At 43.9% G+C, this 16,740-nt stretch overlaps 1 pseudogene; it reads left to right on the top strand.

Moving 5' to 3' along the window:
* Window positions 596–7,545, top strand: SERBP1P3 (SERPINE1 mRNA binding protein 1 pseudogene 3; annotated as a pseudogene).

Genomic DNA, 16,740 nt, shown 5'->3' with positions numbered 1-16,740 from the left:
ACTGTGAAAGAAAGAGAGAGAGAAAGAGAGAAAGAGAGAAAGAGAGAGAGAGAGAGAGAGGGAGGGAGGGAGGGAGGGAAAGGAAAGGAAAGGAAAGAAAGAAAGGAAATAAAGGAAAAAGAGAGAGGCCGGGTGCGGTGGTTCACGCCTGTAATCCCAGCACTTTGGGAGGCCGAGGTGGGCGGATCACAAGGTCAGGAGATCGAGACCATCCTGGCTAACACGGTGAAACCCTGTCTCTACTAAAAATACAAAAAATTAGTCGGGCGTGGTGGCGGGCATCTGTAGTCCCAGCTACTCAGGAGGCTGAGACAGGAGAATGGTGTGAACCCAGGAGGCGGAGCTTACAATAAGCCGATATCTCACCACTGCACTCTAGCCTGGGTGACAGAGCAAGACTCCATCAAAAAAAAAAAAAAGAGAGAGAGAGGGAGAAAGAAGGAAGGAAGGAAAGAGAGAGAAGGAAAGAAAGAAAGGAAAGAAAGAGAAAGAAAGAAAGAGAGAAGAAAAAGAAAGAAAGAAAGAGAAAGAGAAAGAAAGAAAGAAAGAAAGAAAGAAAGAAAGAAAGAAAGAAAGAAAGAAAGAAAGAGAAAGAAAGAAAGAAAAAGAATAAGACAAGGCGTTGGAAGAAGACCTGATCAACAACTTCAGGGTGAAGGGAAAATAACTGATAGAAGACCAGAAAGGCGACCACCTCATGAACGAAGATTTGAAAAGACACTTGAAGAAAAGGGTGAAGGAGGCGAATTTTCACTAGATAGACCGATTATTGACCAACCTATTCGAGGTCGTGGATGTGGAATGGGCTGAGGAGATGGATCTGATTCTCATGGCAAACGTGAATTTGATAGGCATCGTGGAAGTGATCTTCTTTTTCACATTACAGTGGCCTGAAGCACGAGGACAAACATGGAGGTAGCGGATCTTACCACTGGGGAACTGTCAAAGATGAATTAACTGACTTGGATCCATCAAATGTGACTGAGGAAACACCTGAAGGTTAGGAACATCATCCAGTGGCAGGCACTGAAAATAAGGAGAATGAAGTGGAAGAGGTAAAAGAGGAGGGTCTGAAAGAGATGACTTTAGATGAGTGGAAGGCTATTCAAAATAAGGACTGGGCAAAAGTAAAATTTAATATCTGAAAACCAAATGAAGGTGCTGATGGGCAGTGGAAGAAGGGATTTGTTCTTCATAAATCAAAAAGTGAAGCGGCTCATGCTGAAGAATCGGTTATGGACCATCATTTCCAGAAGCCAGCAGATGATATAACATCTCAGCTGGAGATCAATTTTGGAGACCTTGGCCGCCCAGAACATGGTGGCAGGGGAGGACGAGGTGGACGTGGGCGTGTTGGGCGCCCAAACCGTGGCAGCAGGACCAACAAGTGCTTCTGCTCCTGATGTGGATGACCCAGAGGCTCTGGCGTAACTGATGCCATAAGACAACCCTGGTTCCTTTGTGAACTCTTCTGTTCAAAGCTTTTGCACGCTTAAGGATTCCAAACAACTAAGAAATTAAAAAAAAAAACTGTCATTCATACCATTCACACCTAAAGACTGAGTTTTATCTGTTTTAAAAATGAACATCTCTCGCTACACAGAAGTAACAAATATGATAGTCAGTTTTGTATTTAGAAATGTATTGGTGGCCGGGCGCTTAGGAGGCCGAGGCAGGTGGATCACGAGGTCAGGAGATCAAGACCATCCAGGCTAACACGGTGAAACCCCGTTATAATACAAGAAATTAGCCAGGTGTGGCAGCACTCGCCTGTGGTCCCAGCTACTTGGGAGGCTGAGGCAAGAGAATCGACTGAACCTGGGAGGCGGAGGTTGCAGTGAGCCAAGACTGCACCACTCTATTCCAGCCTGGGTGACAGAGGAGACTCCGTCTCAAAAAAAAAAAAAAAAAAAAAAAAAAAAAAAGAAAGAAAAAAAGGTAATGGTAGCAGGGATGTTTTCATAATTTTCAGAGATTATGCATTCTTCATGAATACTTTTGTATTGCTGCTTGCAAATATGCATTTCCAAACCTGAAATATAGATGTGAACAGTGTGTACCAGTTTAACGCTTTCACTTCATTTGTGTTTTTTAATTAAGGATTTAGAAGTTCCCCAATCACAAACTGGTTTTAAATATTGGACATATTGGTTTTAATATCTGCTTTGCATTTTCACACATGGTCAACTGGGACATGTTAAACTTTGATTTGTCAAATTTTATGCTGTGTGGGATACTAACTATATGTATTTTAACTTAGTTTTAATATTTTCATTTTTGGGGAAAAATCTTTTTTCACTTCCCATGATAGCTGTTTTATATATATATATATATATATGCTAAATCTTGACATACAGAAATATCAGTACTTGAACAAATTCAAAGCACATTGGTTTATTAACCTTTCCTTGCTCCTTGCATGGTTCATCAGGTTCAAATTATAACTGATTTACATTTTTAACTATATTTACTTTTTAAATGCATGACTTTCCTATTTTAAAATCTAAACTAGACATCTTATTGGTGAAAGTTGTTTAAGCTACTTATTGTTGGTAGACACATCCTGTCAAGTGAAGTAGCTTTACAGGTATGGGTTTCCCCGCCCCGCCTCCACCAGGGTGGGTGGAATAAGTTGATTTGGCCAATGTGTAATATTTAAAGTGTTCTATACAGTAAGTGTCTGGCCATTTGGTATGATTTCTGTGTGTGAAAGATCCTAAAATCAAAATGGTATATCCATAATCAGCAACCATTTAAACCTTCCTTGTTCTAAAACAAGCAAAAAAATCTAAAGGGCACTGGTTGGTAGGATGAGGTTGGGGAGTATTTTAATTTTTGGAATTTGGGAAGCAGACAGCTTTACTTTATAAGGTTAGAACAGCAGCACCATCCATTAAATATAAACCGAAAATCTTTACTGTTTCTAAATTTCCTAGATTGTTATTATTTGGTCCTAAGTTGAGTATTTGTTCCACAGAAAGTAATAATTATCTTCTCCCTCTTCCTCCATTAGAAAATTAGGTTAATAATGGATTCCTTTAATGGGAGCATCACCACGTATTAAAACATCCATGGAGAGAATGATGAATAAGAAAAGTTTTCTAGGATTGTCTTTTATTCTGCCACATTTATTGTTAAACAGGGAAGGAATTTTTAAAAAAGTTTTAAGAATCGTTCGTCACTTCATTTTTAGAAATGTTCTACCTGTATATGGTAATGTCCAGTTTTAAAAATATTGGACATCTTCAATCTTAAACATTTCTATTTAGCTGATTGGTTCTCACATATACTTCTAAAAGGGAAATTGTGCATTACAAGAGTTACTTATTTGGATTAGATTTATTAATCTCAGTTACCTACTATTCTGATATTTTAGGAAGGAGGTAATTGTTTTTAATGATGGATAAACTTGTGCTGGTGTTTTGGATCTTATGCTGAGCATGTTCTGCACTGATGCTAATGTCTAATATACCTGCTACCCAGAGATTAATTTAGTCCGTAAGGACTATTGACCCCTCTTAAGACTGCAACATACACACTCCTAAATCAGTGTGTTTAGATTTTTCAAGTATCTAACTCATTTCTGAACATGTACCATGTTTATAAACCTCTGATTTCCAGCAGCATATTATAGAAAACACCTGCTATTAAAAACACTTCACAACTTCTACGCAGTGTCACTCATTGCTATCTTGAGAGACAACACAGCAATACCTGGTATGTTGCAAGTTTTCAAGATAGCCAGAACTTAAAAAGTTGGTCCATTAGTTGTATCTGATGGATATAAATTTGCCTCCTAGTTCACTTTGTATCAAGAGCTAAAATTGTGAACCTTTCTCTTACTGGTGGGTAATAACTGAAAATAAAGATTTATTTTCATGCTCACTTCTTTTTTTTTTTTTTTTTGAGATGGAGTCTCGCTCTGTCACCCAGGCTGGAGTGCAGTGGTGCGATCTCAGCTCACTGCAATCTCCGCCTCCCAGGTTCAAGCAATTCTCTTGCCTCAGCCTCCCAAGTAGCTGGGAGTACATGCCACCACGCCCAGCTAATTTTTGTATTTTTAGTAGAGACGGGGTTTCACCATTTTGGCCAGACTGGTCTTGAACTCCTGACCTCAGGTGATCCACCCACCTCGGCCTCCCAAAGTGCTGGGATTACAGGCGTGAGCCACTGCACCAGCGTCATGCTCACTTCTTAAAAGTCATAAAGACAATCAAATAGGATCCTGTTTATCGTCACGCGTTTCCTGGTTTCTGAACTGTGTGCACATCCTTGTGTGCTTTTTTTTGTGATGGAGTCTCGCTCCTGTCGCCCAGGCTGGAGTGCAATGGTGCCATCTCGGCTCACTGCAACCTCCACCTCCCAGGTTCAAGCAATTCTTCTTCCTCAGCCTCCCGATTAGCTGGGATTACAGGCGTGCACCATCACACCCAGCTAATTTTTGTATTTTTAGTAGAGACGGAGTTTCACCATGTTGGCCAGGCTGGTCTCAAACTCCTGACCTCAGGTGATCCACCCACCTTGGCCTCCCAAAGTGCTAGGATTACAGGCGTGAGCCACCGCGCCTGGCCTCCTGTGTGCTTATGTTTAATTTTTTAAATTGAATTTTATATGGAGTTTTTATTTGCTAAAAACCAGGCTGTTGAATCACTTTTGGAAAGGGTACCTATCTTAATGACTAACAACTTAATTGGGAAAGTTGAGTTCTTGTAAAATAGAAAACAAGGACTTCTTGGATTAAATCCAACTGTCACTTCTTAGCAGATCATTTTTTGATAGTGAAAGTTAAGCATACTGAATGCTACTTTTTATTGACAAACTGGCTATAATACTCTAGAAGAAAAAAATCCCTAAATGGATACAGATTCCTAAAGTAATAGTGGCAGCAGATGTTTCAGTGAACTTTTATCTTGACACTTTTAAATAGAAGTAATGCCAGAGCTGAAATTTTTAAGGCACTTACAGCTTGTATCGAAATTATTGGAGACATGGTTTCTTCATTAGCTATTTTGAGAACTGTGGAGTTATGCAAGATTTTTAAAAAGTGGCACCAGGGGGCCAGTTGTGGTGGCTCACGCTTGTAATCCCAGCACTTTGGGAGGCCAAGGCAGGCGGATCACCTGAAGTTAGGAGTTCAAGACCAGCCTGGACAATGTGGTGAAACCTCGTCTCTACTAAAAATACAAAAAATTAGCGGGGTGTGGTGGCGCATGCCTGTAATCCCACCTACTCGGGAGGCTGAGGCAGGAGAATCCCTTGAACCTGGGAGGCGGAGGTTGCGGTGAGCTGAGATCACGCCATTACACTCCGGACTGGGCAACAAGAGCAAAACTCCGTCTCAAAAAAAAAATGTGGCATCAGGTACTATACATCTAGTTAGTTCCTTTACTCTGTTTTATTTTTTAAATGAAAGTAGGATACATCATTTCCAGGACTGTCAATATATTTGGGGCTTGTTTTTGGTATGGATTTGGATGGAGGATATTAAGTATTCATTCATTCTAATTTTGTTATTTTTCTAATTGCCAGAGATGGTTGCACTGAAATAGAAACACATTACAGGGAGTTGCATACAAAGCCTAAATGTGTACTGGATTTTGAAAATACTAGATTGGTGCAGTTACTTTTGCGCCAACCTAATATGTCTTTAGGAAAGTACTAGTATGTGGAAAGAAACAATAGGTATTAAAAGGTTTAAAGGAATGAGAAATAGGAAGTTGCTAGAACCTAACGGATGTTGACTTTAAAGGTAAGATTGTTCAGGTATATTAGTGGACATCTAGTCCAATGCTATAGCAAATTCCAGAGGTCTCAGGTGCATGCAATTCTACTTTCTAAAGAAAGTAAACACTTAGAAAATAGATTCTAACCCAGACATTTGGATTATACTGAGATAAATATGTAAATAAGTTTTAGCAAGTCTGAACACTGACAAGCCAGGTCTTCAGGTTAACTAAGAAAAGCCCAGAAACTTCATCATTTACTGTGCTTTGTATGCCATAACTGGTAACAAGGCAGTAAAATGATACATATTTGAACTGGACCATAGTAATTAAATGATTTATCAATATCATTTGTAAGACAATTGTCAGGTTGAGATTAATAGTAAGTGGCAGCTTCCCAGAAATCTAGCTTGTCATTTGGCTTAGCTGTGCCCTGGGATTGCCTTTTACCTTAGGCATGCTTCTGGGCGTGTTTCCTAACTTAAAATCTTCCTTGATTTTTAAGTTCAAATTTGGAGGTTATGTGAAGTGATTGAAATAAGTCTTTCAGGCTGAGGAATTAGGTAATTTCAAGACTATAGAGAAAGCAAGTTTGTAATCTAAACATGAGAAGCTTAAGTTTAGGAAATGATTAGAATATAAATTGTTAAAACCATCAAGATTTTGGCCACAGATGAAAATATGAACATTGGGGCCAGGCGCGGTGGCTCAGGCCTGTAATCCCAGCACTTTGGGAGGCCGAGGTGGGTGGATCATGAGGTCAAGAGATGGATACCATCCTGGGCAACATGGTGAAATTCTGTCTCTACTAAAAATACAAAAATTAGCTGGGTGTGGTTGCACACGCCTGTAATCCCAGCTGCTCAGGAGGCTGAGGCAGGAGAATCGCTTGAACCCAGGAGGCAGAGGTTGCAGTGAGCCGAGATCATGCCACTGCACTCCAGCCTGGGTGACAGAGCGAGGCTCCATCTAAAAAAAAAAAAAATACCAGCCAGGTGCAGTGGCTCACGCCTGTAATCCCAGCACTTTGGGAGGCTGAGGTGGGCAGATCACGAGGTCAGGAGATCGAGACCATCCTGGCTAGCATGGTGAAACCCTGTCTCTATTAAAAATACAAAAAATTAGCCGGGTGTGATGGTGGCTGCCTGTAGTCCCAGCTACTTGGGAGGCTGAGGCAGGAGAATGGCGTGAACCCGGGAGGTAGAGCTTGCAGTGAGCCGAGATTGAGCCACTGCACTCCAGCCTGGGCAACAGAGCAAGACTCTGTTTCAAAAAAAACAAAAAACAAAACAAAACAAAAACAAAAAAACATGATTATAGTTTAGTATTTCACATTTAGTGACACTTTTCCGATCACTTTGTGTAAGTCCTTTGTGTTGTACAAAGAGGTTTTTCCATAAGATAAGAATTATGAACATTTTATGTAGGTAAGTAAACTCCATAGGTTGAGCTGGGGCAGAAATCAATGGCTCCTGGAGACTGCTTTTTTTTTTTTTTTTTTTTTTTTTTTTTAGAGCTTAGAATGCCCATTTGGAAAGAATTTAGCTTTTGTGCTATTGATTACTTCTGTACTAAACTAGTAGTCAAGTGTTCACTTCCAAATGGAAGGGAAAAAATTACCCACACGAGTTAGAAGATTATTTACCAAATTATATTTTTGAGGTATTATGTATGTACTTAGTATTTAAAATTAGTAATGTTTGTTCCTTTTGCCGCCCATTTTGGGAGTATGTGGCAATTCCTAGTGCACTTGTATGACATTACTCTTCCTGAGCCTTGTATGTGCAAGAAAGTTTATATAAAAGATACCTGGTGGTAACTTAAAAAAAACACACACAAAAAAAACTCCTCTGAAATATTCACAAGTTTGTTCACAGCTCAAGCCCAAATATTACAGCTGAAAGAACCTCTAGACATCTTTGAGTGCAGCGCTCCGCTTTCAATAGATCACATGTACTAGCTGCATTTTAAGAACATAATTTATATCAGGAGGTAAAGTGACTACCTCAGTTTTTTTTTTTTTTTTTTTTTTTTTTTGAGATGGAGTCTCGCTCTATCGCCCAGGCTGGAGTGCAGTGGCGCGATCTCAACTCACTGCAAGCTCCGCTTCCCGGGTTCACGCCATTCTCCTGCCTCAGCCTCCCGAGTAGCTGGGACTACAGGCGCCCGCCACCACACCTGGATAATTTTTTTTTGTATTTTTAGTAGAGACAGGGTTTCACCATATTAGCCAGGATGGTCTCGATCTCCTGACCTAGTGATCCGCCCACCTCAGCCTCCCAAAGTGCTGGGATTACAGGTGTGAGCCACTGCGCCCGGCCGACTACCTCAGGTTTTTAACTCCAGACTTGACAGAATGACTAGATAAAGATAGTGGAAAATGAAAACCGGTGGCCTTACAAGCAAGCTCCATCAGGAATGAAGATCATATATTCCAGGTATTATAAAATTAGTAATGAGAAAATTAGGATTCAATTGGCCACACTTCACTTTGTACAAAGCTACTGGGTAAAGCAAGATCTATGGGCATTTTCCCAATTTTGTCTGTACTATGCAGAAATTTCTTTCTTCTCAAATCCATCTAGTGCTAACACGTGGGAACCAAGTGGGGGCCTAGAGGTGGCACCATCAATTTGGCTGGTAAGCCCAGGCAGGAAACTATGAGACTCTTATCAACCAGGGAGATTTAACCGCTCCAGGCTGGGCATGGTGGCTCACATCTGTAATCCCAGCATTTTGGGAGGCCGAGGTGGGTGGATCACCTGAGGTCAGGAGTTCAAGACCAGCCTGGCCAATGTGGTGAAACCCCGTCTCTACTAAAAATGCAAAAATTAGCCAGGTGTGGTGGTGCATGCCTACAGTCCCAGCTACTGGGAGGCTGAGGCAGGAGAATCGCTTGAACCCGGGAGGCAGAGGTTGCAGTGAGCCGAGATGGTGCCATTGCATTCCAGCCTGGGTGACAGAGCAAGACTCCAGCTCAAAAAATAAATAAAAAATAAAAAAGTAAACTACTCTGTAGCTGTAACAGGCATCAAACAAACACATGAAATGTCCTTGTGAACATCTTGTAGCTTCACAGCAATATCCTGACAGTTATTGTATTACATTGGTGCAAAAGTAATCACAGTTTTTGCCATTAAAAGTAATAGCAAAAACTGCAATTGCTTTTGCACCAACCTAAATATGTAGACTATACCTTAATATGAAAGAAAGAATGGCAGAGTAGGGAGAGGCAGGGACTGTGACAGAGGGCATCGGACAGGCAGGAACTGTGGTCTCCACTCATGGTGAAAAGGTGGGGGTGTGAAGGACTCTGGGCAGCAGAGGGATTCAGGCAGTGCTTGCCTAAGCCCAGCAGGTGGCTATGGAGAGAGAGTATAGGAAGGTCCATGGTGGTATCTCCCTTTATCCTCTCTTCTCCTGGTTGGGCCTGCCTTGCCAAGTCCCTTCCAAGGGCCAGATGAACAGCCTTCTTCACAAACCTCCTGCCCTGGCTTCTCCAAAAGGGCCATGAGGGTCATGAAGAATGCTCTTGCCTGCGCTGGATGCCATGTTGAAAATAAGCTATCACCCAGGTTTCACCCTAGAGAGGTCAATTCCAAGGCCTGGGGGTCAGGTAGGGTTGAGGGGCTATCACTTTATAGATATGTGTCTTTTTGTACTTCAACTATACTTCAGTAGTATAGAAAAACAGAAACATTTTCAATCATATTCATTTCATTAAAATACTATTAATATTTTAATATCATAATTGTCTTTAATATCATTTAATATAATAACATGATTTAATATAATATTTTATGAGGGGCAAAATGATTATACTTCTTTGGCAAACAAAATAATTTAAAAATAGTATTTATCTCCTCTTTACTTCTTCTTTTTAACATTTCTATATTTTGTGTTTTACAATATATGTAATGTTTTATTAGACTAGTATAAATATATTAAATAATATGATTTAAGTATTTTGGAAGGCATACATTCATGTAGGTACAATATTTTGAAGGCCAGTACAAAAGGGAACTCTTGAATCTCCATCCCCTGGGCATTCTATATGATTGAAATAATATGATTTACCTTGCAATAAAGGAGTAGTTTAACATTAAAGAAAAAAAGAGGCCGGGTGCAGTGGCTCACACCTGTAATCTCAGCACTTTGGGATGCTGAAGTGGGCAGATCACCTGAGGTCAGGAGTTCAAGACCAACCCGGCCAACATGGTGAAACCCCATCTCTACTAAAAATACAAAAATTAGCCAGGCGTGGTAATGACAGGCACACGCCTATAATCCTAGTTACTCGGGAGGCTGAAGCAGGGGAATCACTTGAAACCGAGAGGTGGAGGTTGCAGTGAGCAGAGACTGCGCCACTGCACTCCAGCCTGGGCGACAGAGCGAAACTCCAACTCAAAAAAAAAAAAAAAAAAAAGAAAAAAAAGAAAGAAAGAAAAAGGAAAAAGAAAAGGAATAATCTGATACATGTAGAAACATGGATGAATCTCAGAAACAAACAGGACGCCTGACACAGCAGGTCACACTTGTAAACTCAGCACTTTGGGAGGCGGAGGTGGTAGAATCACTTGAGACTAGAGTTCAAGGCCAGCTTGGGCAACATGGTGAGACCCCATTTCTATGAAAAATAAGAAAAGATGTAGTGATACATGCCTGTAGTCCCAGCTACTCAGGAGGCTGAGGCAGGAGGATCACTTGAAGCCAAGAGTTAGAGGCTGCAGTGCACAATTATTGCACCAATGAAGTGAGACCCTGTCTCAAAACAAAAAGGTAGACAGGGACTGGGGCTCACGCCTGTAATGCAAGCACTTTGAGAGGCTGAGATAGGTGGATCGCTTGAGGTCAGTAGTTCAAAACCAGCCTGGCCAACATGAGAAACCCTGTCTCTACTGAAAACACACACACACACACACACACACACACACACACACACACACAAATTAGCTGAGTGCTGTGACTCACACCTGTAATCACAGCTACTCGGGAGGCTGAGGCAGGAGAACTGCTTGAACTGGGAGGCAGTGGCTGCAGTGAGCTGAGATGGCACCACTGCATTCCAGCCTGGACGACAGAGTGAGACACCGTCTCGAAAACAACAACAACAACAACAACAACAACAACAACAACAAAGAAAAAAGCAACCAGACAGGATCGCTACTTGGAGGAGCTGAACAAAAAATAATAATAAAAAACAGACAGAGAGTATTGCTCTATGATGAAATTTTTTTCTTGTCTTTTCTTGTCTTTTCTTTCTTTATTCTTTTCTTTTTTTTTCTTTTTTTCTTTTTCTTTTTTTTTTTTTTTGAGTCAAAGTCTCACTCTGTCACCCAGGCTAGAGTGCTGTGGCACAATCACAGCTCACTGCAGTCTTGACCTCCAGGCTCAAGTGATCCTCGCAGCTTAGCCTCCAGAGTAGCTAGGACTACAGGCTTGGGCCACCACATCTGGCTAATTTTTAAATTTTCTGTAGAGATGGGGTCTTGCTATGTTGCCCAGGCTGGTCTCGAATTCCTGGCCTCAATCAATCCTCCCCCCTCGGCCTCCTAAAGTGCTGGGTTTACAGGCATGAGCCACTGTGCCCGGCCTATGATGAAGTTTATAAAAACAGGCAAAAGTAATCTTGAAACTAGAAATCAGATCAGTGTTTGCCTATGGGTGAGGGGAGTCATTAGAAGGCTCTGTGTTGGCCAGGAGCGGTGGCTCACGCCTGTAATCCTAGCACTTTGGGAGGCCGAGGCTGGCAAATCACTTGAGATCAGGAGTTCGAGACCAGCCTGGCCAACATGGTGAAACCCCGTCTACTAAAAATACAAAAATTAGCCGGGCATTGTGGCACGTGCCTGTGATCCCAGCTACCCAGGAGGCTGAGGCAGAAGAACTGCTTGAACCTGGGAGGCGGAGGTTGCAGTGAGCCGAGATTACAACACTGCACTCCAACCTGGGTGACAGAGAGAGACTCCCTTAAAAAAAAAAAAGAAGTCTCTGTGTCTTCGTGGTGGTGGTTACATGGGCTGCACCTCTGTGAGCACTCAGAGAACTCTACACTTATATAATAGGTATATGTATATATATATATATATATATATATTTTTTTTTTTTTTTTTTTTTTTTTTTTTTTGAGACAGAGTCTTGTTCTATCGCCCAGGCTGGAGGCCAGTGGGGTGATCTTGGCTCACTGCAACCTCCATCTCCTGGGTTCAAGGGATTCTCATGGCTCAGCCTCCCGAGTAGCTGGGATTACAGGCGTGTACCACCACACCTGGCTAATTTTTGTATTTTTAGTAGAGATGAGGTTTCACAATGTTGGCCAGGCTGGTCTCAAACTCCCAACCTCATGTGATCTGCCCACCTCAGCCTCCCAAAGTGTTGGGATTATAGGCGTGAACCACCGCACACAGCCCAAAATGGGTATATTTTATTGTATGCAAATTATACCTAAAAAAAAAAAGTATTGTAAAAAAATCTTGGCCACACTCATGCCTGTAATCCTAGCACTTTGGGAGGCCAATGCGGGGCAGATCACTTGAGCTTAGGAGTTTGAGACCAGCCTAGGCAACATAGTGAGACCCCCATCTCTAAAAAAATACGAAAATTAGCCAGGCATGGTGGCACGTACCTGTAGTCTCAGCTACTTGGGAGTCTGAGGTGGAGGGATCACTAGAGCCTGGGAGATCAAGGCTGCAGTGAGCCATGATTGTGCCACTGCACTCCAGCCTGGGTGACAGAGCAAGAGCCTGTCTCACAAAAAAAGCAACAAAACAAAATAAAACAACAACAACAACAGCAAAGCGCCATCTGGGCCACATTTGACACAGGGCCTACCAGTTTGTGTCCTCTGTCCCAGTCACTGTATACATTCCTCATACAATTTTTTTTTCTTTTTCTTAGACAAGGTCTGGCTCTATTGCCCAGGCTGGAGTGCAGTGGCATCATCTCAGCTCACTGCAACCTCCACCTCCCAGGTTCAAGCCATCCTCCTACCTCAGCCTCCCAAGTAGCTGGGACTACAGGTGTGCACCACCACACCTGGCTAATTTTTGTATTCTTTGTAGAGGTGGGGTTTCACCATGTCGCCCAGGCTGGTTTCAAACTCATGAGCTCAAGTGATCCACAGAGGGAGACAGAGCGAGACTCCGTCTCAAAAAAAAAAAAAAAAAAAAAAAAGACACTCCAACCTCCAACCCAAAGAACTGCTCCCTCTTTTTTCCGGTATTGCTGAGCGTCCTTGGTCACTTATTTGGTGCCTGTGACCTCTTATTAGCGGATAAGAAGTTGAAGGTGCAAAATAATTTAAGAAAAATGCATGGCTCAATAACATAAAATTGGAACACTGTGCCCATTAATATATTTTCTCCAAGAGAAGCGGTCTTTGGGGATGAATGGGGACATAATCCTGGGCTTGTGGCACTCAAGGATAGAAAACGGGGTCAAGAGGGCCAGTGCCTGTTCTGTGGTAAGCAACTGAGGAAAAGCAAGCTAAGTGCTTTAGGAAGACAGAGAAAGAAGGGGAGCAATCTTGGGAGGCCTCCTGGAGGAGATGGCTTTGAGGTCAGGACAACTATTTCTCATCATTCTGTTGTGCTTTACAGTTTGCAAAGAATGTTTATACACATTTTGTTCTTGGATTCCTATGACCCAGCAAAGAAGCTGATTTCCTCCCCATTTTACAAAGATGAGGAAACTGAGCCCAGAGTGGTGAAGGGTCCCATAGAAGGTCTCATAGAGAAGCAGTGACTAACTCTGAACTTGACTCCAGCTGTCTGCCTCCACACCCATTGTTTTTTCCCTGACAACACAGCGTAGGTGAGAAGGACACCTGGTGGAGCAGGGTTTGCAGGAGCCAAGACATGGAGGGAAGCAGGGCAGGTGTTACAGAGAATGTGGAGTCATGGTCTGTGCTCCCGAGGCAGCAGGGCCAGCATAGTCAGTTGGACCTCAGTGAAGAATGGCATGGGGTGAGCAGTGACTCTACAGTGGGGATCACCTGATTGCTTGGGTAATTAGCCACAGGGAGTCATTATGTGACTGGCCTCATTTGGATTGACTGAAGGAAGCTGGCTGGTCAGGTCAGTGGCAATGGAGGGCCGCTGATCACTGACAGCAGGCCTGGCTGGCTTGTGGAATTTCATTCAGTTCTTCATGGGTTGAAAACAGCATGATGTCCTGGCCAAGGGTTCTGCCAGTCCCCAGGGTCCAGGCCTGGCCCTCAGGTTCTCATCCAGTACAAGGCCCCAGGTTGATGCCCACCTGCAGAAAACAGGCCTGCTTCATGGGCAGGCAAGGCCTCAGGGCATAGGGGGTTCATATAGAATGGTTGAACACTGACCCCTTGGTCAATGATGACAGAGGGTTACAACCCCTAACCCATGAAGCCAGCAGGAAGTGGAGACTAAGTTGGGAATGCCCAGGATGCCTCCTGGGTGTGCCAGCCTCTGGTCTTGGATGCTGCCAAATGACCCACTAGCCACCCTCTTGTCTTCCCACTGCCTCTTGGGGAAAGGGCTGACCTCATGGTTATGGAGACAGGCATGTCTTTGTGCTCAAGGGGACTGATGTCCATCTGTGGGATTACAGGGGGGACAGAACCCAAATAAATGACAAACAAATGCAGGTATAAATTAGAAATATCACCACTGGGGAGAGAGAGAACCTGTTCAGATGGGGTGGGCAGGGAAAGCCTCTCTGAGGAGACCATCTTGTTAAGCAGATACTGGAACAATAAGGTGTCACCTATGTAAAGGTGGGTGCAGGAAGTGGGATGGGGAGTGTGCCAGTGGGAAGGACAGTGACATACCCATGAAATGGAAAGGAGACAGGTGCAGCTAAAATACAGCAAGCAAGGCAGGTGAGTAGGACAGCTGAATGGGACAGGTGAAGGTGGGCCAGGCCAGTCTTTTTTTTTTTTTTGAGACACAGTTTCGCTCTTGTCACCCAGGCTGGTGTGCAATGGCACGATCTTGGCTCATTGCAACCTCCGCCCCCCCCGGCTTCAAGCAATTCTCCTGCCTCAGCCTCCCATGTAGCTGGGGTTACAGGCGCGCACCACCACGCCCAGCTAATTTTTTGTATTTTTAGTAGAGATGGGGTTTTGCCATGTTGGCCAGGCTGGTCTTGAACTCCTGATCTCGTGATCTGCCCACCTCAGCCTCCCAAAGTGTTGGGATTACAGGTATCAGCTACTGCGCCAGGCCAGGGCCAGTCCTTTTTTTTTTTTTTTTTGAGACGGGGGTCTCACCCTGTCGCCCAGCCTGGAGCGCAATGGCGCCATCTCAGCTCACTGCAACCTCTGCCTCCCAGGTTCAAGTGATTCTCCTGCCTCAGCCTCCCGAGTAGCTGGGATTACAGGTGTGTGCTACCACACCCGGCTAATTTTTTGTATCTTTAGTAGAGATGGGGTTTTGCCATGTTGACCAGGCTAGTCTCGAACTCCTGACCTCATGATCCGCCCACCTTGGGCTCCCAAACTTTTGGGCTTACAGGCTTGAGCCACCGCACCTGGCCCTGGTGCCTTATAGGCCAAAGTGAGGCTTTTGGACTTCTGCAAAGTGCAATAGAGAACCTTGAAAGGCTTTCAACTGGGGTGAGTCATGACCAGAAGTCAGTTTTCCATAAGTTACCCCTCGTTCCGTGCGCCTCTGGGGCTGCATCTTCGGTCAACAATCCCCAACTCGAATTTCCCAGTAGCGTGGTTGAGAAGCTGGCATGCCAGGTTTGTGGCTAAGTTTTGCTTCTCTTTAAGGATGACCTGGAAGCTCTCAGTTTGCTCTTTGTCCGTAGGGAATGTTACGGCCTGTCCTAAAGGATGTTGCAAGAGTTAAAGGAGATTCTGTCCAACTGCACATGTGCATACCCACACCCACATCTACACAGTGTCTGACACAAGTCAGATGTGCAGACAGTTTTAAACTGTTCCTTGAGTTCTCTGTTCTTCTTCCTTAGGGGTCATGAAGGTGAGCACTGGAGAAAGGCAAGAGAGTTTTACAATATTTGAATAAATTGAAAGATAGGACCGGACGTGGTGGCCAGCGCTTTGGGAGGCTGAGGCGGGTGGATCACTTGAGCCCAGGAGTTCAAGACCAGCCTGGGCAACATGGCAAAATCCTGTCTCTACAAAAGATACAAAAATTAGCTGAGCATGGTGGTGCACACCTGTAGTCCCAGCTACTCGGGGCTGAGGCGGGAGGACTGCTTGAGCCTGGGAGGTAGAGGCTGCAGTGAGCCATGATAGCACCATTGCACTGCAGCCTGGGTGACCGAGTGAGACCCTCTCTCAAAAAAAATTTTAAAAAGGCTGGGTGCGGTGGCTCACACCTGTAATCCCAGCACTTTGGGAGGCTGAGGCGGGTGGATCATAAGGTCAGGAGTTCGAGACCAGACTGACCAACATGGTGAAACCCCGTCTCTACTAAAAATACAAAAATTAGCCGGGTGTGGTAGCGTGCGCCTGTAATCCCAGCTACTGAGGAGGCTGAGGCTGGAGAATCGCTTGCACCCAGGAGGCAGAGGTTGCAGTGAGCCAAGATTGCACCACTGCACTCCAGCCTGGGTGACAGAGCGAGACTCTGTCTCAAAAAAATCATTAACAATAGCTAACATTTACAAAACTTTTACTATGTCCTAGGCGTTGAGCTTGTGAGGCAGCTGTTAATCTTTTTTTTTTTTTTTTTTTTGAGTTGGAGTCTTGCTGTCACCCAGGCTGGAGTGCAGTGGCACGATCTTGGCTCACTGCAAGCTCCGTCTCCCGGGTTCACGCCATTCTCCTGCCTCAGCCTCCCGAGTAGCTGGGACTACAAGCGCCCACCACTACACCTGGCTAATTTTTTTGTATTTTTAGTAGAGACAGAGTTTCACCATGTTAGCCAGGATGGGCTCGATCTCCTGACCTCGTAATCTGCCCACCTCGGCCTCCCAAAGTGCTGGGATTACAGGCGTGAGCCACTGCGCCAGGCCAGAGGCAGCTGTTACTCTTATCCTAATTTTACAGACCAAGACCTGAAGGCCCAGAGGG

The sequence above is a fragment of the Homo sapiens genome, chromosome 3, assembly GCF_000001405.40.
Source record: "Homo sapiens chromosome 3, GRCh38.p14 Primary Assembly".
In the NCBI taxonomy this organism is placed as follows: domain Eukaryota; kingdom Metazoa; phylum Chordata; class Mammalia; order Primates; family Hominidae; genus Homo; species Homo sapiens.
The sequence above is the reverse complement of the archived record's forward strand: the minus strand, read 5'-3'. Positions and strand labels throughout refer to the sequence as shown.